The sequence below is a fragment of the Homo sapiens genome, chromosome 6 (assembly GCF_000001405.40).
Source record: "Homo sapiens chromosome 6, GRCh38.p14 Primary Assembly".
NCBI classification, from domain to species: Eukaryota; Metazoa; Chordata; class Mammalia; order Primates; family Hominidae; genus Homo; species Homo sapiens.
In genome coordinates this window covers 7,854,956-7,879,199 of record NC_000006.12, presented here as the reverse complement: position 1 = coordinate 7,879,199, position 24,244 = coordinate 7,854,956, and the positions used below count along the sequence as shown (strand labels likewise).

Below are 24,244 nucleotides of genomic sequence, written 5' to 3'. Positions count from 1 at the left end.
AGTAAACTGCTGAGAAAGGACCTTTATCCCCCGTGTCCAGAGAACTCACCTGCCATCCCAGGTCTTGGAAACTCACATACAGCTCATGCTTCCTGCAGGCTGTTTTCAATTCACTGCTGTTGTAATCTGTTGGAGGAGATCAAAAGATGCACCCATCAAAAGATGCACCCATCAACTCATTAATTCCTTCATAGAGAGTTTACCACATGCCAGGCTCTGTGCTAGGCTCAGGATAGCCTCCTAGATACAAGTATGGTCACCCAACAGCTACATCAGGTTCCTGACTGTTGGCTTGAATGTCTTACGGAATCCGTTTTGTCTACCCTGGGGTCAGTACTGGGAGCAGGGTGACTTGAATGGACACCCTTAAGCAACAGAGGTGTGTTGTGAGCCCTGCTGCATGCAAGGCCTATGGAGGCGTGGGCCGACTTGCCCAGTACACCCCAGAGGCGCCAGACCGGGAAGGCATCACATTCACATGATCAGACAACGCTACTAGGCAGGATTTGCTGCAGTCCAAACAGGGAGCATTTTGAAACTGCACAGGGGCTTTCAAGACAGCTGCCGGGCCAGAAGAGTATCCTGAAGGAAGAGTAATGGTGGAGTGGGGCCAAACCAGGAGGCCCAGGAACGGGGGAGAGGGAGACACCACGCAGGGGCAATGCTCTCTCTGGCTGTACTCCCACCTCACTGCCAGGGTTGAGCTCTTGTGTGCTGATGCAATAACACTAAGCCAGGGGTTCCTCAGGAGACTCTGCTGAAGTGCATGTACCCACCCTGTGCAGCACAGGGGCCACTAGCCTGGCTTAACTGAATCACCAGCAAGAGCACTGGGGGTGCCCCAATTCACTGAGGCCCACTGGAGCGACTCTTACGTGACATGCCTTCTGCCTGGCACCACGGCCAATAGACGGTAAGTCAGACATGGCTTTCCTCCCTCCAAGAACTCAGTGAATGAAGGGGTGGTGTAAAACAGACACACAAATAACTCCAATACAAACCAGAACATGGATGCTACGGGCAAAGGCCATAGGCAAATATCACACAGGCAAGGGCCATAGGCAAATGTCCCTTCAGAGAAGGGACAGTTCAGAGTGGGAGTGAGAGGAAGAGAGAGGAGTTCTGCTGGAATGGATTTAAGGATGTGTCAAGCAGGGTCGGATGAGATAAAGCTGGAGAAATGAATGGCCTAGGCTGCCAACCACAATGCTTCGGACTTCCCACCAGAGGCACAAAGTGAGCCTTTGCAGGGTTCTGAGCTGCAGAGCAGCATTTCCCGCTGTGATTCGAAAGGATTAATCCATCTGGAGTTGTGTTGGAGAGTTCGAGAAACGACGGAGAGAGAAAAGGCAAGGAGAAGGCTTTAGAGAAAGGTCATCTAATGTGGGATGTCAGTGGGTGTAAGAGCCTAGGTCATTTGCAGGCTATCCCTTCCCTTTTCAACTACATAAGCCAGTAAGTCACCTAATTGTTGAAAGCCTGTTTGAACTTGATTTTCTAACTTCTAACTCCCAGTCTTCCTGGCTCTGAAGCAGGAGAGAGCGTGCAGATTTCATTAATTTTTTTTTTTTTCTTTTGAGACAGAGTCTTGCTCTGTTACCCAGACTGAAGTGCAATGGCACGAGCTCGGCTCACTGCAACCTCTGCCTCCTGGGTTCAAGCGATTCTCCTGCCTCAGTCTCCCGAGTAGCTGGGACTACAGGCGCGAGCCACCATGCCCAGCTAATTTTTTGTATTTTTAGTAGAGATGGGGTTTCAACACATTGGCCAGGCTGGTCTCGAACTACTGACCTTAAGTGATCTGCCCATCTCAGCCTCCCAGAGTGCTGAGATTACAGGTGTGAGCCACCATGCCCCACCAGATTTCATGATTTTTTAAGGAAAAGAGACAGTGACTCAGGCCAGTGGCCTATACTGGGAGAAGAGATGGGGCAACTTTTTTAGGTGGTTTATAATTCTAAATTTATTTATCCTCTCCACCTGCCTATGTTACCCAACAGAACCACCCTGCCTTTAACTTTAAGGACCCCAGAGAAGCCCTGGAGGGAAATTTTCACAATGCAGGACAAGGACTCTCTCAGTAAAAACAATCAACCAACTATCACCATAAGACAGAAACTTCCTACTGAAAAGAACCCCTGAACAAAAATGAATCAGCCACACAAAGTCTCTCAAGAGGATGGCTGGAATGCAAGGGAAGACCCAGAGGACCCCAGAGACTGTGGATAAGAGTCATCTGAACTAAGCTCTAAAGGAAGAATACCAAAACAAAACAAAACAATAACAAAACTAAAAACAAAAACTAGAGGAAAAAAAAGGAAGAATACCTAAAATAATGGAAGGAAGAAAAGAAGGACTAGAAACCTTAAAACAAAATTATGGGGAAAAAACATGAAAAAAGAACAGGTAGATGTAAAAAGAGTCAAATAGAACTTTATAAAAACCATAACCATTGAAAATAACAATGAAATCAGATTAGATATAACTAAAGATCAGATTAAACAGGTTAAACATTAGTTGTCTAATTAACAGATTAAACAGATTACTTAACAGATTAGTTATACATTAAACAGATAATCATCAAATTACACATAACTGAAGACAGAATTAAAGAATTCAACAGTATATTTGAAATCTCTTCAAATATAGCACAGAATCAAATGGCCAAAATACATGACTGTCTCTTTGTAAAGAGACATGGAAGAGAGAATGAAAAGTCCAACAAATTTCTAATAGGAATTTCGGAAGGCAGTAATAGGGAGTAGTAGTATTTGAAGACATAATGACTGGGAATTTTCTACAACTAAAGAAAGGCAAACATCTTTAAGTTGAAAAGGCCCAAAGAGTTCCAAGAGGATCAGATAAATTCTTATCTAGCCACATGTAGTGAAATTATATCAAACACATAAATTCTTAAAAGTAATCCAGAGATAAAAAGAAAATTACTAAGAAACACAAAATGGATAGCAAACTTAACAAAAATACACATTAAAAAATTAAATAATATGAAAATGATGCCATCAAACCTAGAATGCCATACCCAGCTGTAGTGGATATTTACTGCTTTTGCTACCCAGCTTTTGGCAACACTTCGCATGTGGGGGAATGCCTAGATAGGTGGGACTCAGAGCCCCATTTCCCACGACAGATAGCTCCCCTCTTTGTCCCCTAGCATCTGAAGTACGGACTCATGACTTCATCAAAGCCAATCAAATGTCTCCACCCTGCAGTGTATAACCTGAGGGAGTGACTCAAAGGTGACATCAAGAATGGGTAGTACGGCAGCCAGTGTCTAGGGTGATGACCACATTGGAGGGATCCAAAGCACATTGTTCCATGACTAGATCTGAGCCTTGATTTCCTGAATTAAGTCTCCAGCCTTTTTGTTGATTGGGTAAGTTCCCTGGTACGCTTTTCTCTCTCATTACAGTCTGCTTCTACTGCATGCAATCTAGAGCACTGTGATAGTTAATTTTGTGTCAACTTGATTGGACTATGGAATGCCCAAGTAGCTGATAAAACTTTTTTTTCTGCAATGGGGTTTTGCTCTGTCACGCAAGCTGGAGCACAGTGGCACAATCATGGCTCACTGCAGACTTGACCTCCTGGGCTCAAGCAATCCTCCCACTCAGCCTCCCAAGCAGCTGGGACTACAAGAACGGGCCACCACAAGCTAACTTTTAATGCAGAGATGGGGACTTGCTATGTTGCCGAGGCTGGTCTTGAACTCCTAGCCTCAAGCAAGCCTCCTGCCTTGGCCTCCCAAAGTGCTGAGATTATAGGTGTAAGCTACTGAGTCTGGCAACTGTTAAGACATTATTTTGGGGTGTATCTGTGAAGGTATTTCTGGAAGAAATAAGTATTTGAGTCAGTAGACTGAGTAAAATAGACCTGCCCTCACCAACACGGATAGGTATCATCTCCTCGGTTCAGGGCCCAGAGAGAACAAAAAGACAGAGGAAGGGCAAATTCTCTTTTATCGAGCTGGGTCATTGTCTTCTCTTGCCCTGGGACATCAGAGCTCCCAGTTCCCAGGGCTTTGCACTTCAGGACTTATACCAGCAGCCCTCCCCAGTACTCAGGGCTTTGACTTCCAACTAGGACTTACACCACTGGCTCACCTGGTTCTCAAGCCTTTGGACTCAAGACTGAATTACACCACCAGCTTTCCTGGTTCTCCAGCTTGCAGACAGCAGCTCATGTGACTTCTTGGCCTCCGTAATTGCCTGAGTCAATTCCCATAATAAATCTCCTCCTATATATATATATATCTCCATATATCCTATTGATTCTGTCTCTCTGGAAAATTCTGACTAGTAAAAACCCGGACTAGCTAAATTATTATTCAATAGTTAGGGCATAGAGAGTACAGGGTGGCAAGTGTGCTATCTCACATAGCGTTGACAAGCTTGTCTGGATTTTTTTGTTTTTGTGGGTTTTTAAGAAATTTTTGAGACAGGGTCTCACTCCATTGCCCAGGCTGGAGTGCAGTGGTGTGATCATGGCTCACTGCAGCCTCCAACTCCTGGGCTCAAGTGATGCTCCCACCTCAGCCTTCCGAGTAGCTGGGTGTACATCACACACCTGGCCAATTCTTTAAATACTTTGTATAGATGGTGTTTCTCTGTGTTGCCTAGGCTGGTCCTGAACTCCTGGGCTCAAGTGATCTTCCTGCTTTAGCCTCCCAAGGTGCTGGGATTACAGGCGTGAGCCACCTCGCCTGGCCTTGTCTTTCTGTTAAGGTATCTTCTAAGCAAAAGAGGAGCCTTGGGAGTGAGGCATGAGGCCATCTGGGGTGAGAGAATTTCCTAGAGTGGGAATGACAATGTGAAGGCCCTGAGGAAGCAGCCTGCTTCACCTATTCCAGGAACAACCATGTGGCGGCTGTGATGTGTTTATTAGCAACCCACATCCTCTATCAACCTCCTGAGCACACAGCCAGATGACATTTCCCACTGCAGTTAGCTGTGGCCATGTGCCTGGATTCTGCCCATGAATGTGGGGAAGAAGGGATGTGTGGTGCTGCCAGGCCTGGCCCTCCTAACCACCTGCCCCCTACCCCATCAGCCTTCCACTCACTCTTTCCTCTCCTGCCAGCTGGGTGCAGCAGGGGAGTCTCCTGAAGACCCCAAGGTCCTAACGCCCTGCGCTCCTAAAGGTGTCCTGGGTTAGATTAGATGATAAACTGCATGATCACACAACTTACAGTCTTAGCCTGGGATTTTCCCCATCCAACCTCATTCTGCTTGTGAAGTAAGCTTCCTCCAAAATACCGTCTCGTGCTAGGGACCAAAATCTCCATGAAGACCATCTTGGCATCATTTGGTCATGTAAAAAGCAAAGATTTCTACAAACAACTTTCTTTCCCAGGTCAAGCAGACATGGGCAGTGTGAAAATAATAAATATATCTCTGGTCTTTGTCCCCAGTTCCTGGCACCAAGCTTTGACAACCCTTGGATTTTCCTGAGTGTCTTTGTTATGCTCCTGAGGCCCTAGATTGTACACGGTGAACCCCACACACTCTCTAGGACCTCATTAGCTTCAGGATGGGGGCTAGTTACCAAAAAAGCCAAGCACAGGATTAGGGGGTTGGAACTTTGGCTTAGCCTGGCCTCTGGGGGGCTGGAGATGGAGTTCAATCATGTGACCAATGATTCAATTGTGCAGAGCAATTAAACCCCACATAAAAACTCCAGACACTGAGGCTCAGTGGAGCTTCCAGGTTGGTGAACATACTGATGTTTCAAGAGGACGGTGCACCCAAAAGGGTGTGGAAGCTCCAACCACCCATGCCTATCCCCTTGACCTTGCCTAAGAGTCTCTTCATTTGGCTGGTCCTGAGTCATACCTCTTATAATAAACCTATGATTGTAAGTATAGCACTTTCTTGAGTTCTGTGAATTGTTCCAGCAAATTATCAAACATGAAGGGCGGTAATGTGAACTCCCAAATTTGTAGGCAAGACAGACAGAAGCATGGCTGCCCTGTGGACCTCACTTGTGCCTGGTGTCTGAAATGACAGCAGTCTCCTTGGGGACCTTGCCCTTTCACTTGGGCCTGTGCTAACTCCAGGTGGCATCAGAATTGAACTGAGGCCAGATGTGGCGCCTCATGCCTGTAATCCCAGCACTATTGGAGGCTAAGGTGGGAAGACTGTTTGAACCCATGAGTTTGAGATCAGCCTGGGCAACACAGACCCTGTCTCTACAAGATATAAAATTAGCTGGACATAGTGGTGTGTGCCTGTGGTCTCGGCTATTTGGGAGGCTAAGGTGGGAGGACTGCTTGATCCCTGGAGATTGAAGCTGCAATGAGCCCTGATTATGCCACCATACTCCAGCCTGGGCGAGAAAGCAAGACCCTGTCTCAAAAAAAAAAAAAAAAGAAAAAAAAAGAATTGGATTGAATTGCAAGACACTTAATTGGTGTTGAAGAATTGCTGGCAGAACACAGGCAGAGACCACCACTTCATGTCTGGATTTCCAGTTTCTTTTTCTGCTGGATGGAACCAAGATGACATAGTCAAAGGGCTTTGCTTCTAACTTCACCAGCAGTTCTGGGTTTCTGTGAACCTGCTGTTGATTTGACTCTCTCAATGCTCAACAAAGAGAACCTTCTCTGGAAGAACAGCTATTTCTTTTAGCGCCAGACACTGGCATTTTTGTCATTAAGTAAGGATCAGGGCCAGAGAGAGGAAAAGGAGGAATTCAACTCTCCTGTTTTTCTTCCTACAGATACTCTCAGGCCATGCTTAAATTTCCTTATAATTCCATGTTAAGTGCTGGCAAAGAACGTATAAATATTTATGAAGGTTGATGCTCCTTGGAATACTTGTGTCTGCCACTCAGGGTCAGTACCCTGGGTTCTGCATGGAATTATACTGACACACTTTTTTTTTTTTTTTTAAACAGATTGACAGATTACAGATTACAGAAAAAACTTTCCCCTCACTCCCACTGCCCCTGGTATTGGTTTTGATGAATGGGCTGAAGAGGGCCAGTGGAAATGTATGTGGTGACAATTCAACAGGAACATGGTCACTCCAGTGGGACAAAGAGAGGTAACACAGCTTTGCCCCAGTGGATTCACCAGTCAAGGGCAGGGCAGAGAAAGGAAGTGAGACAGCTAGAGAGAGGCGACAAACCAAAAACCAGAGAAGCTGACCCAAGACAGAGGAGCCTCCCCCACCACCCCCGCCGCCAGGACAGAAGCTCTCAGTGTGTGACTTGTAGGTGGCCTGTGCCGAATACTGGGGATCATCAGGGAGTTTCTCTAAAGTGCGGGGTTCTCAGCTCAATCCCAGACCCATGAGTCAGAGCCACTGAGATCAGGCCCCTGGCTGTCCACATGCGCCTGTGACACCAGAATTGGAACTGCTGCCCTCTAGACAAGAGGCTCACACACAGGTAGCGCTACTGCCCTGCTGAGACACAAAGTCTGTCTTGGGACCCCAAGGCTCCCCAGCATCCCCAGACACAGCTGCAGTCAAGGCCCAATATTGGTCCTGAGAGACATTTTCAAGGGCTCTGGCTTTTTCAAAGTTGAATACACAGTGAAATCTGGTCCCCCTCAAGGGCAGGGGCACCAGCCGCCCAGAGGCAATTTTCCCCCTCAAGACAAGGCCCCAGGTGCTCATCCAGGGCAACTTGGACAAGCAGGGCCCAGCCATAGGTGGGTTTGGGCAAAAAACTGTTGAGTGATCAGGTGACACAGATGACAAAATCCAACAATCATAAAAGCCCCCCCAGGACGAATTCCTTCCATAAGCAGAAGGTAACTCCCTGGCCTGCTCTTACACAGGCAGAAACATTCCTCTCACCAAAGATTTCTGAGCTTTGAGAATGTATCAGATGTTAATTGCCTTTAGCAGCGCGGCTTTCAGTCCCATTTAATAAACTGCTTCCGCAGGGAAACCTTCAGGTACAATTAGTATTAAAAAGCCCAAATCCTTCCTCTCTTCTCCAAATGAACATTACAGATATTTGAACATGGGTTTTAAGTGGAGATTTTTCTTTTCTAGCACCAGAGTTGAGTTCTAATTTGTCCTAAAGCCACTGAAGCAAAAACCATGATAAAATATTCTGCTTTCCTTTATAACCCCTCAATACACACACACACACACAAAACTATTTGTAGGAAAAAAATGGCTTTGGACATGAGATGTAAATGGGTTTCCTCTCACAGTGTGGGACAGGCAAGTGGGGCCCATGATACAGGAAGCTTCTACAACTCCCTTCGGGGATGGAGATGAACTCTAAAGATCCAAGACAGGCCGGGCGCGGTGGCTCACGCCTGTAATCCCAGCACTTTGGGAGGCTGAGGCAGGTGGATTGTTTGAGGTCAGGAGTTTGAGACCAGCCTGACCAACATGGTGAAACCCTGTCTCTACTAAAAATACAAAAAATTAGAGGGGCATGATGGCACATGCCTGTAGTCCCAGCTACTCGGGAGGCCGAGGCAGGAGAATTGCTTGAACCCGGGAGGCAGAGGTTGCAGTGAGCTGAGATTGTGCCACTGCACTCCAGTCTGGCAACAGAGTGAGACCCGTTTTTTTTTGTTGTTGTTGTTGTTTTTTAAAAAAAAGATCCAAGACAGACATGCCTGTTTCCCCTAAGGAAGGTTCTTCAGCAAGACTCTCCATGATCTGTAGTGGAAAAGAAGGTGGCAGAGACAGGCACCATCCCCCTCAGAAGGAGAACAGAGTTGGGCAGAGAGGTCCCAGCTGTGGTGCCCAAAGCGTGTCTTTATGAAGCCTTTATGTTTCCAATACGTTGCCTTCATTTTTCCAATACTTTGCCAAAGGGAGGCTTGCATCTCATTTAGGCCTTCTGCACGATGCAATCAGTGGTAGAGAAACAGGTAGAAGTGTCCCATCCATTCCCGATGGCGGGACCATGTGGAAGTGCCTGCCATTTTCTACCATAAGAGACCGGGGTGTTCCAATCCAGAATTCACCTCGGAATAAAGCATCAGGTCCAGCCATGGCTCTGAAATCCCTCTCCCAAGCCCCAGGTGTGTCTTTCATTATCTGTCATTCCTCCATGTTACCTGGGGGCCAGTACACCTGGGAGGGGTTGGGGGCTAACTTGAAAGGAGCCATATGGAGGTGCATTTTTCTGGAGTCCAGCGGATGGGAGGGAGGACACAGTGATGGAGTCTTCTTGTCCTTGAGACACAACTGAGCTTTCACATCTGAGAGTCCTGTTCTGAGGGTGGTGGTGGAGGGGCCATAGCTCCCTTCCTGGGGGCCATCAGGGGTACATGCTGCAGCTCCCAGCACACACGCCTCTGGCTGATCCCCTTTCTCTGTCCTCTAGCATCTTCCTGCCCTTGCTCCTCCTGTTGCAGGTGCACGTTCCACACAGGCTCTGCTGAGCTCCTACAGTCTGCTCAGTTCTGGTGGGGAGTTCTCATCTCAGTTGCTAGGCCTTGGACCTGACAATCAGCTTCCTTGCTGATAGCCTCTGCTCCCCGACCTTAAGTCCTGGTCTCCCCTGTGATGACTGAGGAGACATTCCATCTACAGGAGAAAACAAATGGGAAGGCTGCCGGGGCCCATGTGACAGTGACGGGGCAGGGCATCCTAATCGTCCCAAGGCAAACTGAAAACTGCAGAATAGCTCTCTCATCCAGTGCAGTGAGGACAGGGCACCCTTGGCCCCAACAGAAGGCGGCTAGCTGGGCTGGGACTTCCTCACAGAAGCCATGTCCCCAGGCAGCGGCACATGCACTGTATACATTGCCTATACCCCCAATGCAGGGGTCATACCCCACACTAAGCATAACATCTGGGTTAATTCCATCCAGCATCCTTTTTATCTGGCCCTCCTGAAGAGCCACGCACACAGCGAAGTGCAAAGGAGCCCACTGTTGGTTAGCTCTGAAGCTCAATCCCTATATGCCATGATGGGCCAGTGACAGGCAGGCTTCCCTGGCACTGGAGGCCAGGAGAGGCCCATAGGTATGAGACCCAGAGGAGAAGGGAAGGGCGCAGCCACCATCCTGACTCTCAGGCAGGCATTGTGCGGGGAGGCTGCACCGCGGGGCTGGAGGGCCACCACGCAGCTGCTGCTGTGAGTATGACGGGGCTAGGGCGCTGCAGCAAGCCTGTGGGCTCCCAGGGGGGGTGCGCCTGAGTCACGGCAGCCAGAGCCAGCCTGGGTCCCAGTGACCCTGCCTGCTGTGCTTTGCAACTTCAGTAGAGGAGGACAGCGAAACAAAGGGCAAGACAGGGAGAAGGGAAACAAAGGCAGGGGAGAGAGAATGTCAGGGACACCACAGAAAGCAGGTGAGAAGGAGGGAGAGGGAGAGAGGTGGGGAGGGAGAGGGAGAGAGGTGGGCAGGGAGTCGTCTCCTCACCAGGGCTTCTGCAGAGGGGCCACTCGGCTGCCCTGGGCTGACCCCGCAGGCCCTGCCAGCTCAGCCGGGTGTCCCCGCTCAGCAGGTCACACAGAGCCAAGAAAATACCAGCATGGCAGGGGACTGGACAAAGCGGCATGCTCCACATGTATTTCCCAGCTTTCCTGAGCTCAGGCTACAGACTCTTCCCAAAGGAAACTTGTTTTTTAGAGGGAATAATTCACTACTTTAATTTCCCTTCTCTCCTAGAATGACAAGGGTGAGGGCCACATAGAGGTCGTTAAAGTGGCACCTCTGTCTTCATGGGCCTGGCCGCTCTTTCCATATCTCTGGGCCTTATCGGCCCCATCTTATCCAAAACAAGCCTCTCGCTCCCACTCGCCCAGCAGAATCAATACAGCCATTGAAGAACGCGCAGCAGGTGCCAGCTCCTTGTGTCACCGACACTACGGGAGGCCAGGGACCACACTGGGGTTTTGATTTCTGGTGTCAATAATCTCCTAACAGTTGATAGGGCTGGGGTGGGGGTGGACAGTTTGATCAGAGTCTAGATTTTGTTTATAATTTGGATGGTCAACATTGAGAAGCAACAGTGAGGCCCTATTTTTTGGTTGCTCCAGGAGATTTCAGGATCTCATAAGGCCCCATTTAATCTGGGTGGGACTTTGGTCTCTTTTCAGCCTTTGTCTTGATTCTAAAAGAATATGGAACTGTCCTGCAAATAGACAAAGATTTCCTTTAAAAACTTAGCTCTAAGACCCTCTGTGCTCTAAGCACCTTCTATACTCTCTGCCACTTCCTAGACTGAGTCTCCTGGCCCCAGTGCCCTCCCAGGGTTGGCAATGATTGGGAATGACTTAGGCATCTCACGGTACCTGCATAAGCTTCTTCTTATTGCCTTTTAGAATTGTTGCCATTTGCACATTTGCAAGGAGTGAACCTTGGGAGGAGGTAGAAGGGAACTTTCCAGTCTGTTCCACTCTTTGATAGCCATTATCCTCGAACAAGAGTTGTGCATGATAGAAGTGAAGCTTTTGATTCTAACTTTTTTTTGGTGATTCTAACTTTTAGATCACTATTTGCCATGACTGTCCTCCATGTCTATGGAGAATTAAGGTTTGATTTCATATAGGAAGCCCTGAACCAAACTCTACTTAAGACATCTGCAAGCCAAGCTGCAGGCCCTAAAAGTTTAAGATCACAATGACAAATCACAATTCCCAACTTTCCTGGAGAACTAGAAACTGCTAGTTCACAGTCTTGACCTGTGTCTATTCTTCCCAAGCTTTGAATGTCCATGGTGGACCGACCCAGTCAGCTCTGGCTATCCCCAATCCATGGAAGCCAATGGTGAAGTAGTGAGGACACTGTAACAATGAGACCCCCAGTCTGGACTGGATTTCCTTGAAATGTATAGCACAAGATTGCACAGTTATAATAAACTACTCAAACAGCTGTTTTGCAAGAGATGACTCCTGGTTAATTTACGCTGAAAGCCTATTGAATAGTCCCAACCGGGAAGCTTAAAGGACAGAAAATATAAACTATCAAGAAGAAGGTCAGGAGTATCCCTGAATGTACTAGAGCCACAATTTCCCCCAAGGTCCTTAAAGATACATGTTTGGGGGTGGGAAAAGGAGGGAAGGAGAACTTACTCTACAAAATGCTGGCCAGATGTGGTGGCTCATACCTGTAATCCCAACACTTTGGGAGGCCGAGGCAAGTGGATCACTTGAGGTCAGGAGTTTGAGACCAGCCTGACCAACATGGTGAAACTCCGTCTCTACTAAAAAAATACAAAATTATCCAGGAGTAGTGGTGCATGCCTGTGATCCCAGCTACTTGGGAGGCTGAGGCAGGAGAATCGCTTGAACCCGGGAGGAGGAGGTTGCAGTGAGCTGAGATGGCACCATTGCACTCCAGTCTGGCCAACAAGAGTGAAACTGTCTTAAAAACAAACAAACAAAAAAGAAATGCTAATAGGTGGCATTGATACAATGGCAGACTCATTCCAAAGGACAGACAGTGTCTCAAGAGGCTGCTGGGTCATAGATGGTTGGCAGAGCTGGGTAGTGACAACATAAACATCAAGACTGAAAGAGACTACTCCAATTTCACATGGATCATTAAAGTGCAGATAATGTTTCCAAACTCATCTATCAAAACAAAGACCAATTCTGCCTCACAGCAGCAGCAGCAGAGCAGACTTCAGACTTACCAGCTGACCTGAAATTGCTTTAGCTACACCCTCTCAAAAGAGGTCTTGGAAAGATCCGGAAAATTAGCCAAATGAAAATTTAGAATCACCCAATGGAACTTCAAGGCCATTTGTTCATGGACCTTGTCATGGATTGGCCAAGTGGTATCACAGTCCCCCAGAAGATAAAATAGTGAACCCCAAGTGAGAGCTACCATAAAAGAGAGTGAATGATAACAAGTAGAAGGAGACCACCAAACTGGAGCTATAGAACCTGAGGACAGGTGTTGCAAGAGCAGCAGGCTGGTAAGAAATGGAGGCTGAAAAAGAATTGGTAGATTGGTTAAAATCCCCAATGGGGCAAAGACGGCTAGGACCAGGACTAGTCAAACATGTGTAAAAACAATAAATGATACCATGCAGAGGCTATCCAAGCCCCTGGAGAAGTATAACAGAGCCAACCAACATCCAGCCTTCATTTAGAGCAGCCAGCTGCAGAGAAGCAAGGGCAAGTGAAAGCCATCCAGGGAGACGTCGATCCAAACCACTATCCAGTGCACATGTTTGGAAAGTCCAGCTTGAAAGCCAAGTACAAATGTTTGAGTAGATTTTGGTGGGTGGTGGGGCTCCTGGCCTCTCCACTGCTGTGCACTAGTCTTGCCGTCTCAGGCACTGACAGCACAATTCCAAAAATAGCCTCTTATTTCCTTGCCACGTTTCACCCTGATGACAGGCAATTTGATGAATGAATGCTAACTTCTTTACCCAGATGTAGGACGATCCCTGGTGGGCTGCTTCTGGTGGTGGTTGTTTTGGTGGAGAACTATCAACTCCCTGGGAGCACGCCATGGAAGAAGGGGGCAGCAGAGACAATGCAATCTTTTCCTTCCAACTTCCAAAAGATTTACAAGCAGAAAGTCTGCCTGCAGTCACGCCAGAGTACACCACTTTTCTGTTACTGTAATGTCTACCTGGTTCATGAAGGCCCAGCAACATCTGGCCTCACAGAGACCCCGAGGGAGAGGAACACCAGACAGGCCATTTCTCCAGGTAGCAGGCCATCTCTCTGGAAATCTTTTCTGGGAATCTCTTCCTCAGCATGTCCACTCCCATTAATGGAAGAATAGATAAGGAAGAAAGAGCCAAAAATATAAAGAAGCGCTTCAGTGGGCCAGACATGAGCAATTTCCCAGATCACTTAGAGGATCTTTGAAGAGAATGAGAAGGAGGGAGCATCCTTCATCGTCATTCTTTCTTGGGGGCCTTTAAATAGGTGAGACCGGAGAGATTTCGTATGAACCCTTTTGCCTTTGTACTACTGAAAGGGACAAAGCAAATTTGGAAGTACTGGCTTGGGAGGTGGGCGGGGGGAGACCACTGAAAAACAGAGATATTTGCACCTATTACTAATTAGATCAACTTGAATATCCATATTTAATTTAAACTCATCAAATTGAAAAAAGTTGAAAGGGACTTGGAAAATAATAATTGGTTGATATTGCTAAAATCAAAATCAGACACAACATCTTTTCTCAATTTAAAAACATTAGTGTGTGCATTGGGTGGGGGGTACTGAATAAAATCAAGTGAAGTTTTAATTTTAAAAAGCAATCAACATTTCAAGAGATGCCTCTGTGTCTGAGGTCCCAGCACCAAACTGACCACAGTTCATTAATAAATTGAAGCCTACCATTGGCAGACTTCCATTAATAAATTGAAGCCTACCATTGGCAGACTTCATCATCATAGCCCGAAGGAAAACACTGAGATTATTAACTCTGTTCAGCAGGCTGCCTCTGAAGTGAATAAAGGAAAGCAAGCATTTCTTCTCTTTTTCAAAAACCCCAACCCTGACTGTTTCTAGTGGTGAATACAGGAACACCCATGCTGTGAGCAATGCTTCCGAGAAACACCAGGATGACAAGAAGCAAAATGTCACATCACGCTGGGCGGTGGATCCTCAAGCTCCACATCCAAGTTACTGGTAAAATAGATGGTTGATTTAAGTCGGAACACAAAATGGAGACACTGCTTCCCAAAGAAGAAATAGGTACTTTGGGAAGTTGCATTAACTCTTCCCAACATGTTTGGCCACCAAAAATGACATTTCTGTACAATTACCTGGAAGAATTAATGCATCTTCCAGAATTATTTTACTTGTTTTCCAGGGATCCCAACATATGCCCTGAGAACCTACTTCCTACAATGGCATATAAATAATCTTTGAGTGCTATTATGAGCCAGATTTTGATGCTTTTCATTTAATTCCAGCAAATCTGCAAGGCATTCATCATCCCCATCTTACAGATGAGTAAATGGAAGCTGAAACAGATTAAATGTGTCCAAAATCACAGGGTAGCAACCAGGGAAACAAGTTCTCTGGCTGCAAATCCCACTGCCAATCTTCACCTTTATGGTTGATTCTCAAGCTATTTAAATAGCCAAAGGACCCCAGAATTTGCAAGCACTGGCATTAGAGTCAGAAGTGTCTGGGTTTCCATTCAATCCTAACTAGCTACGGGACTGGCTGTGGGGAGGGAACATCCACTCTCCCTTCCTCTGGGCTTCCATGGGTGGACTTCCATGCCACTTCCTAAAAACACACTGGGGAGAACTTTTTTTTTTTTTTTTTCGATGGAGTCTCGCTCTGTCACTCAGGCATAATCTTAATCTTGGCTCACTGCAACCTCCACCTCCTGGGTTCAAGTGATTCTCCTGCTTCAGCCTCCCAAGTAGCTGGGATTACAGGCACATGCCACCACACCCAGCTAATTTTTTGTATTTTTAGTAGGGATGGGGTTTCACCACGTTGGCCAGGCTGGTCTCGAACTCCCAACCTCAAGTAATCCGCCCGCCTCAGCCTCCCATAGTGTGAGGATTATAGGCATGAGCCACTGCACCCTGCCAGGGAGAACACTTCTGAAGGACCACTCAGCTGACACTCAGGTAGCAGAGCTGGTTTCTCTCTCTTGCCCTTTGAATGTGTCTGTTCTGAGCAGAATGGGACTCACCTTATTCCTTAGCTCCCGGGTGAGCACACAGTTCAGGTCTGGCCAATCAGAGCACTCCCCACCCAGCAGTGTGCTTCAGGTTGGAGGACGCAACCCCAGCCAAGCCAACCGGAGTCGTGCCCTGGATTTCTGCTGAAGAAGGGCTCTGTCTGAGGTTGAGGTTGCCAAGGGTAACAAAAATCCTGGAACCACTGGTTGCCTTCCTGGCCACCATATAGAGATAGTTTTACTAAGAATTCCACCAACAAAGAAAAATAGAAAAACAGAAAAAGAGAGAGATTCCTGATTATCATCTGAGCCCATGGATCCAGCCATGCCTAAAGACAGAACCCCTGGCCAGGCGCAGTGGCTCATGCCTGTAATCCCAGCACTTTGGGAGGCCAAGGTGGGTGGATCACGAGGTCAGGAGATCGAGACCATCCTGGTCAACATGGTGAAATCCTGTCTTTACTAAAAATACAAAAAATTAGCCAGGCGTGGTGGCAGGCACTTGTAGTCCCAGCTACTCGGGAGGCTGAGGCAGAAGAATGGCATGAACCCAGGAGGCGGAGCTTGCAGTGAGCCGAGACCGTGCCACTGCACTCCAGCCTGGGCGACAGAGGGAGACTCTGTCTCCCAAAAACAAACAACAACAACAAAAAAACCCTCAACCTCTCCATTAAATGAGCCAAAGAAATCCATCCTAGAGGGCTGAGTTGACCTTCCTTCCCTTCCAGCCAAGAGCACTGACAAATACAAGTTCATATTACACAACTGTACCAAGTTCGCTTGCACATCATAACCCCCCAGCATAACGCAACTAGAAAAAAGAATCTAGGTGCTCCCAGGGTTTTGATGGGAATTTAAAAAAGAGTTGGAGAAATGTAACCAAACAGAAAGATGCTTGTCTGGATCAACAGGCAGTCATGATGCGGGCAGCCTGAGTCTTCAGGTAACAAGTGTTCCAGGCTGAGGGCCCTCAGAACCCACGCAGATGTTCTGCGACTGTACAAGGTACCATCATGCATATGACACCTATTTGCCTTTGGATTTGCTGTGCAGAAGCTGCCCGACATCTGAGACTGTGGACACAACTTTTGTTCTCACTGAGGCCAACAAGGCTTTCTGGAAACACAGGCTCCCCACAAACCCACCTGAAGCACTGGAGACCCGCGCCACGTCCTGGGACTGGGTAGAGCGATTACGACTCTGTTGTCGGCGCCGGCTGGAGGCTGACCTGGTGGTGCGCACGTGCACCTCACTCACTTTGAAGAAAGCCACCATGAAGGGCTGCTTGTCGTAAGGGCCGTCTCTGCCCACCAGGCCTGCGGCTCGGGGGTGGACGTGGACTCCTTTAATGCAAATCAAAGCATGCATCTCTTTATTCCACAGAAACTTGTTCCTGTAGCTACAACAGTTAAGGGATACTTCCTAGTTTCCTAAGTGCTAATCCTTAAGAATGAGTGTGAAGAAGAAGATCATGTATCCCCAAACCTTGCCTGGCACCCATGGGATGGCATCTTTTGGCAGAATCAAAGCACTCCTTTCAAAGTTTCAGAATCACATGAAGGAGTGGCGTGAACTCCTGGGCTCTCCTGTTTCTGCTAGATTATGAATCTGCAGTTACCCTGCCCTCCCTGGTGGACAGATCAGCAGTGGGGACCTCAAGCTGCTGGCTCTGATGCTGCAGGAGGAGTGGGTACTGCAAACCTGTTCATCCGTCAGGATTTAAACAGATGCGCCTGCCTCTCTCTTACTCGCTGCATCCCCCGCAACCTGCCTCTGCCTAGAAAAGCTGTCCTCCCATCGCCATCCTCTTGGAAACATTACCACTCTCCTGTCTCCAAGTTGCCCAAGCCTGTTTTCAATTCCTGTCTAGGAGGCCTCCGGGAAAGGTTTTGGTTCTCAATGCAAGTCATGGGGGATCAGTAAATGAGGCCATCCTGAAGCTGAGGACTTGCCTGTTGCCCACGGTTCTATCACAACTGCTGTAAGGGAAATGTGTGAAACTGATGACTTGCTGGACGTTGGAGGCTTGCGGATAATAACTTACCATCCCTTGTCACCACGCTCAGCTGAAGCCCCATGTTATGCTGTGGAGTCACAACCCACAGATTGCTAGTGGCCGTGATGTCAAATTCCAGCCAGCCTTCTTCTGAGGCCCATACTACACGGGTGTCCAACAAAAACAGGTCAGAGTCTCTGAAAGAAAGAAAAAATGGCCTGGTAAATAGCGCACTGCCTGAAGCTCCTTCCCACTCTTTCCTGTCTCAGCGTCAGGATAAAACATGCCCGAGTCAGATCACATCTACCTGTGAGGCACAAGCACAGTGACTTGCCATAGCCCTGAAAGGCGTGGTACCACCCAGGACACAGGCATGACACAATTAGGAGAGACAGGCACATCTGATAAGGCGCTTCATAGAAATCAGCTTTCACCCCGACACGGCAGACCCTCTCAACTTTACCAAAAATCTTGCTAGTGCTGCTTATGACAGATCTTTTTGCGAATTAGGATAAATTACAAATAAATGATTTTTTAAAAAACTTTTTTATTTTTTTTTTTTTGAGACTGGGTCTCACTCTGTCACCTAGGCTGTAGTGCAGTGGCATTTACATTTTAATACTTCTATTATGTTTTAAAAATTTATTTATGATACTATTAGTGACTAGCTTACTTTATGGCTAATAAGCTCTAAAAACAGGGAAAGTAGGAGACAGCGAGAAACAGGATTGAGAAAAGATAAAAATCAGGATCCATATGAGCATTTATAAACTGGGCTTTGCTCATTTTTTCTTGTTTTGAAATTGGGACTGAAAATCTTCTCGTTTGTTCCTATGAAATAAGGAGAAACAAGAAGCCACATCGCATGCCTAAGTAATCATCTACTATTTTAATTAAGGCCTCTGAATGGTCTGCAGTGAGTACCCAGTCCTTCCCCATATGGACTGTGTAGCCGAGGGTGGATGCTGAGTGATTTTAAAGTTCATCCCAGCACAGTGGTGAGCTACAGCTGGGGTTCTTTGAGGCAAAGTCAGAGAATCCATTCCTTCCATTAGGCCCTTCAGGGAAGACTGACTTTTTCACAGTTTTGAACTAACATAATCAAGGGGCTGTGGGATGACGGTGTGAGGGTCTCCTTCTGCTCACCTGCATTTTATGATAGGTCAGTGCCAGGAGATGGTCATCTTTAGGGACAATCTGAATCTGCGTATCCATCCCATGGCCACTAGAATGAGATGGCCTGGGATTCCCATGACAGGGAGGGCTATATTTTGGCCATGGAAAGACTCAAAGCTCCTGGTATTGGAAATATTTTGCTGCAATATCTTACAGAGATAGAAAAACGACTAAAATTAAATACTAAGTTTAAGATAAGCATACATTTACATAAGTTACAAAGTGCTTTCATCTACTTCTCTTTGTTTGGTCCTTACACCAATCCTAAAAGCCAGGCAGAGTGTCACGGTCTCCACCTTACAGCTGGGGAACCTGAGACTCAGACACAAGGCTACCGTCATATGTGGTCAAGATCTCAAGCTAGCAAGTGAAAAAACAGGACCTAGTTTTGGATTCAAAGAGCTTTCCATAATAACATACTGTCTCATTGAGATGATTACCAAAGACGACCTGTGATGAATGAATGAACTTCATCTTTAATCCATCAAATACTTACGAGGCCAGTGAAACATCAAGTTCAAATGGTTAGATTTCTCAGAGGAGGAGCGAACAGTTTCTCCTGCCTCCATGGCCACTTAAAGTGAGAAGGGAACTCTATTGTCGTCTTTCCCAAGTATAAACAGTAGGCACAGTTAAAAGTCATTTACTCAGCTGCTTAACAGAGTCTGCGGGAGGCCACATTCTGGCCTGCCCAGTTGAAAGCTCTCTCTGATGTGGATGTGTCACATCCCCTGTTGACAAATTACCCCCCATCACTGAGGTAACAACTGTGAGCAGGGAGATTGCGGGGGGTGCGGGGGGTGTCCATGGAAAACAGCAAGCAGAGACTGGAAGGCCAAGGCTTTGAAGTCAGATGTAAGAGGACATCAATTCTGTTCTGGAAGGTCACAGAAGACCCTTATCCAGCAATAACACAGACAGTACAGACAGCACTGTGGGAAAGTAGCCCCGGTCCCAGAGGAAGCACGGCACACATCGGTGTCACGGGCAGAATGTGGCTGGCACTCTCTAGCACCAAGACCCAGTGGGAATCTCGGGGGTAAGGCTGCCCTCAAGGCGGGGCCCGTGAGCACATGCCGAGTTACCTCTGATGACTAGATTAGGCACCTACATTTTAAAGACTTATAATAAGGATACAGAGAAATACAGTTCAAAGCGTGAGGGTAGCACAGCTGGCAGAATGAGCTTTTATTTTTAAAGATCAGGGTCTGTGATAAAGAAAATGGCAGCCTCGTCCAAGAGAATGTGGGGAATGAGGCAGACGCACATCATCCAAGGAGGAGGAGGAAAACAGAGAAGAGCAGAAAGAGAAGGAATGAATTAAAGAGGGAGAACATGAATCAAAAGTTAAACTTGGGGCAAAGGCGGAAGATGAGGATTACCCATCATGACATGAAGCAATTGCACCTACGGGGTCAGTGCAGATTCGTGGATGTGGAGAGCCCAGTTTCCATCCCGACTCTGCTACCGAGTCACTCTGGGGCCCCATGAATTTGCGTTGTTCTGTGGCACACTTTTGTAATCGTACAATGAGAACACTGACTGTTCTCACTGCTTAAGAAGCTTGTGAGGTCAACAAGTGCAGTCTAGTGGCCGAGCCTTGAAAGATGAAAACTCTATGTGGTCCTATGGCAGCGAGGAAGGCTTGGACTTCAATGTTTAGATCTAGGATGCTCGGGGCCTCTGGAAGGGAAGTGAGGCAGAGCATGGACTTAAGATGATTGGGCCAAGTGGGACAGAGGAACAGCGAATATTGACTGTGTCAACAGCCTTTATTCCTCAGGACAGCCAGAAAAGGCAGGACCTATGTCATCTCTTCTACAGCTGAGCCCCCAGAGAGAGTCTCAAGGTCACATGGCTGTTAAGTGGGGCAAATGGAATTTAATCAGGGCCCAGGTCCTTAGCCGTCACATATCTAAAAAGTAGAGTCATGAAGCAGACAGGGCAGAGGCTGAAAGTACTGTCCAAGGGCTCAGAATAAAGTAAGGGACCAAAGTCTACCACATACAAATGCTAAAGTCAGCTGGATACAGAAAATACAATAAGATACACAGGACAGGCACAGGTTAAAAATCACCGGTTGGGAAGGCTGGGTGTGGTGGCTCATGCCTGTAATACTAGAACTTTGGGAGGCTGAGGCAGGAGGATTGCTGGAGGCCAGAAATTTGAGACCAGCCTGGGAAACATGGCGAAACCCTACCTCTACAAAAAAATACAAAAATTTGCCAGGCATGATAGTGTACTCCTGTAGTCCCAACTACTCGGGAAGCTGAGGCGAGAGGATCACCTGAGTCCGGGGAAGTGGAGGCTGCAGTGAGCCATGATCGCACCTCTGCACTCCAGCCTGGACGACAGAGTGAGACCCTGTCTAAATAAATAAATAAATCGATCACCAGTGGGCCTCCCCCATCAGGGTCAGGTAGGTATGAGAGTGCGTGCAGGAAGGCGCCCGAGGTGGCTGGTGTCAGCTGTAGATGGTGGCATAGTGGTGGAGCCCCAGTGACCCTCCCAATCTTGCTCTGCTCCTTCCAAGCAGAATATGCTGCGCCCAGCATGAGAACATCACTAATATGTTCACACCACGAGGGAGAGGAACTTGAAAAAGGAATGAAGCTTTAAGACACAACTTTATGGGCTCACCCTCAAAGCTTCCAACAACTCAGATATTGAAGAGATGCTGTTGATGACAAATCACTAAAACGGTTCTGGTCTGACCCACATGTACTAATGTTTCCTCAGGGATACATGGCCTTCCTAGTCTGCGGACTGTAAAAGTGTAGCCTCGAAGAAGATGCATCTGATTTTGCCACGTGAAAAATAAGCTTTCCCTTCTAAATCTCACTTTGGCAGAGTTCAGAAGAGATGTTCTCACCTAAAATGTGTGTCACTGATAAAGAATCCTAGAGACTGGCCAAAATCATCACCATGCCTAGATTACTTGGACCTTCCTATTGAGGTGACATACTCTCAAGGTGGCAAACCACGAAAGAAAATCTTGAAACAAGGGAAGATAATTTTTAATGCAGTTATTGACTATTTTGTTCTCAACTAACTCAGACCCTACATTTGCATGATGAATACGCTTCCAATCTTCAAGGATGTAACAGTGTTACTCTTCTCAATGTTATTCCAACCTCAGAGCGTGATATTCCTCACATTGTGGTCATCCTGGGCAAATGAGGTTCTTAACAAATTAATATGCTAGTAAGATATTTCTGGAAAATTTCAAAAATTCACCCTGGCTTTAGAGTTGATGAATCAGAAAGCCACTCATAAAGACTAGTAGAATTGGTGTTTGTGGGCAAGATTTATCCCTGCATATCCCTCCCATCACACAGCCTCCAAGGCACATGCTCACATCAGTGATACACCACTGGGCTGACAGAGAGCACCATTGCCAAAATACAGCAGGCCTTTCTCTCCTTTGCCCTCGGACAAGGGCAGGAGGTGCCTGAGCTCCTGGTGGACAGGCTTCGACCCTTTCCTGACAAACCACACACCCATCAAGGTCACAATGCCGGGGTCAAAGTACAACAGTGTTTACTACTAACCATTTTGATAGAAAAATGCTCTTGAGGCCGGGCGCGGTGGCTCACGCCTGTAATCCCAGCACTTTGGGAGGCCGAGGCGGGCGGATCACGAGGTCAGGAGATCGAGACCATCCCGGCTAAAACGGTGAAACCCCATCTCTACTAAAAATACAAAAAATTAGCCGGGCGTAGTGGCGGGCGCCTGTAGTCCCAGCTACTTGGGAGGCTGAGGCAGGAGAATGGCGTGAACCCGGGAGGCGGAGCTTGCAGTGAGCCGAGATCCCGCCACTGCACTCCAGCCTGGGCGACAGAGCGAGACTCCGTCTCAAAAAAAAAAAAAAAAAAATGCTCTTGATAAACTGGCATTTATATATTCAAAGTAAGCAGATTTATGAAATACTCAGTAAGGTGATTCTGTGGTCTTGTTCTTTATTTCTCCATAACACATTCCTTTGCATTTGTACGTCTGGACTTGATGTTACATTAAAATACAAAACAACATTCATACATGGAGGAACTGACTTTCTGCAATAAGAAAAATTCATTTTTCAAATAGAATGAAAGTAAAAAAAATCCATTTTCATTTTAGAAAATTAAGGAGTCAAGCTCATGCTTTTTACTTTTTCCTTACGTAAAGTACAGTATAGATTATGTTTAAACTTTTACCATTAGAAAGATAGAAAAGGCATCATATATTTGAAAATAAAGTACTACAAAAAAGAGTAAACTGCTGCATACATGTACACATACAAATTTGAGTAACAAAGATGAATGAACATTATTTGGCTACACTTGCATTTTTTTTTTTTTTTTTTTTTTTTACAGTCTTTGATATTACTCAATTTTCACCCAATGGCTAGCATGGTATGAAGAGACGTTTCAAATATCAAATGCACCTTGATTCTGTAGGGGCTATTTCGTCTTTAAAAAACCAATATAAATCACTTTGCTGTTAGAATATTAACATAGCAAACCTTAACATGGTGTTTACTATGCGACTGTTCTAGGTACTCTCACATATATTAATGCCTCACAACAACCGTAAGAGGTAAATACTATTAATGCTGTTACAGGTTTATAGATGAAGAAACTGAGGCACAAAGAGATTAAGTGGGCAGGGCATGGTGGCTCACACCTGTAATCCCAGCACCGTGGGAGGCTGAGGCAGGTAGATCACTTGAGCCCAGGGGTTCGAGACCAGACTGGGCAACATGGCAAAACCCTGCCTCTACAAAAAATAAAAAATTTAGCTGGGCATGGGCTGAGGTGGGAGGATCTCTTGAGCCTGGGAGGTGCAGGTTGCAGTGAGCTGAGATTGTGCCACTGCACCCCAGCCTGAGCGACAGAGCACAACTCATCTCAAAAAAAAAAAAAAAAAAAAAAAAAAAGAGAGAGAGAGAGAGATTGAGATTAAGTGGCTTGCACATGGTCACACAGCCAGCAAGGGCAGAGCTGGAATTTGAACCCAGGCAGTTTGGCTCATGTGTTGTACGTGCTCTTTTATCAGTGGTTCTCAAGTGTAGCCTGCATCAGAATCCCCTGCGGGGGCTTAACACATGGATTGCTGCCCCTCACCCCTAGGGCTTCTGACTCAGTAAGCTTGGGGAGGGGCCTGAGAATCTGCATTTCTAACAGGTTCCCACGTGATGCTGATGCTGCTGGTCTAAGAACCATACTTTGTGAGCCAAGGACCTAAAGCCAGACTACCTCTCCATGAAATATGAGCAGGACTACCTGTGCCTGTTTTGTGAACTTAGAGTTGAAAGCTATCTGCTCTCAAGATTTCTTGCTCCTCTCCCTAAAACAGTGCAAACCAAATGTAGGCTGCTCCACAAGTCAGTGTGTCTTATGGATGGGCATGACCCTCAGGGTGTCATCGAATTAGGCTAATAAACAGAACTGCAGGTGAGATCGAGTCCAAAGTATCAGTGTTATTAGAAGTCTTGGTTCTATATGTCCAAGGCAGGGTAAGAGGGGGAAAGAGGA

At 46.8% G+C, this 24,244-nt stretch overlaps 1 protein-coding gene across 1 annotated transcript in view; it reads right to left on the bottom strand.

The window, feature by feature from the left end:
* The window catches only part of BMP6 (bone morphogenetic protein 6), a 155,630-nt gene that overhangs the window by 2,529 nt on the left and 128,857 nt on the right, over positions 1-24,244 (bottom strand). The window contains exons 3-5 of the mRNA NM_001718.6: positions 17,601-17,749; positions 16,702-16,899; positions 50-126 (exon numbers count right to left, since the gene is read on the bottom strand). Coding sequence (NP_001709.1) covers positions 50-126; positions 16,702-16,899; positions 17,601-17,749 — 424 coding nt within the window. The remainder of the gene's footprint in view (positions 1-49; positions 127-16,701; positions 16,900-17,600; positions 17,750-24,244) is intronic.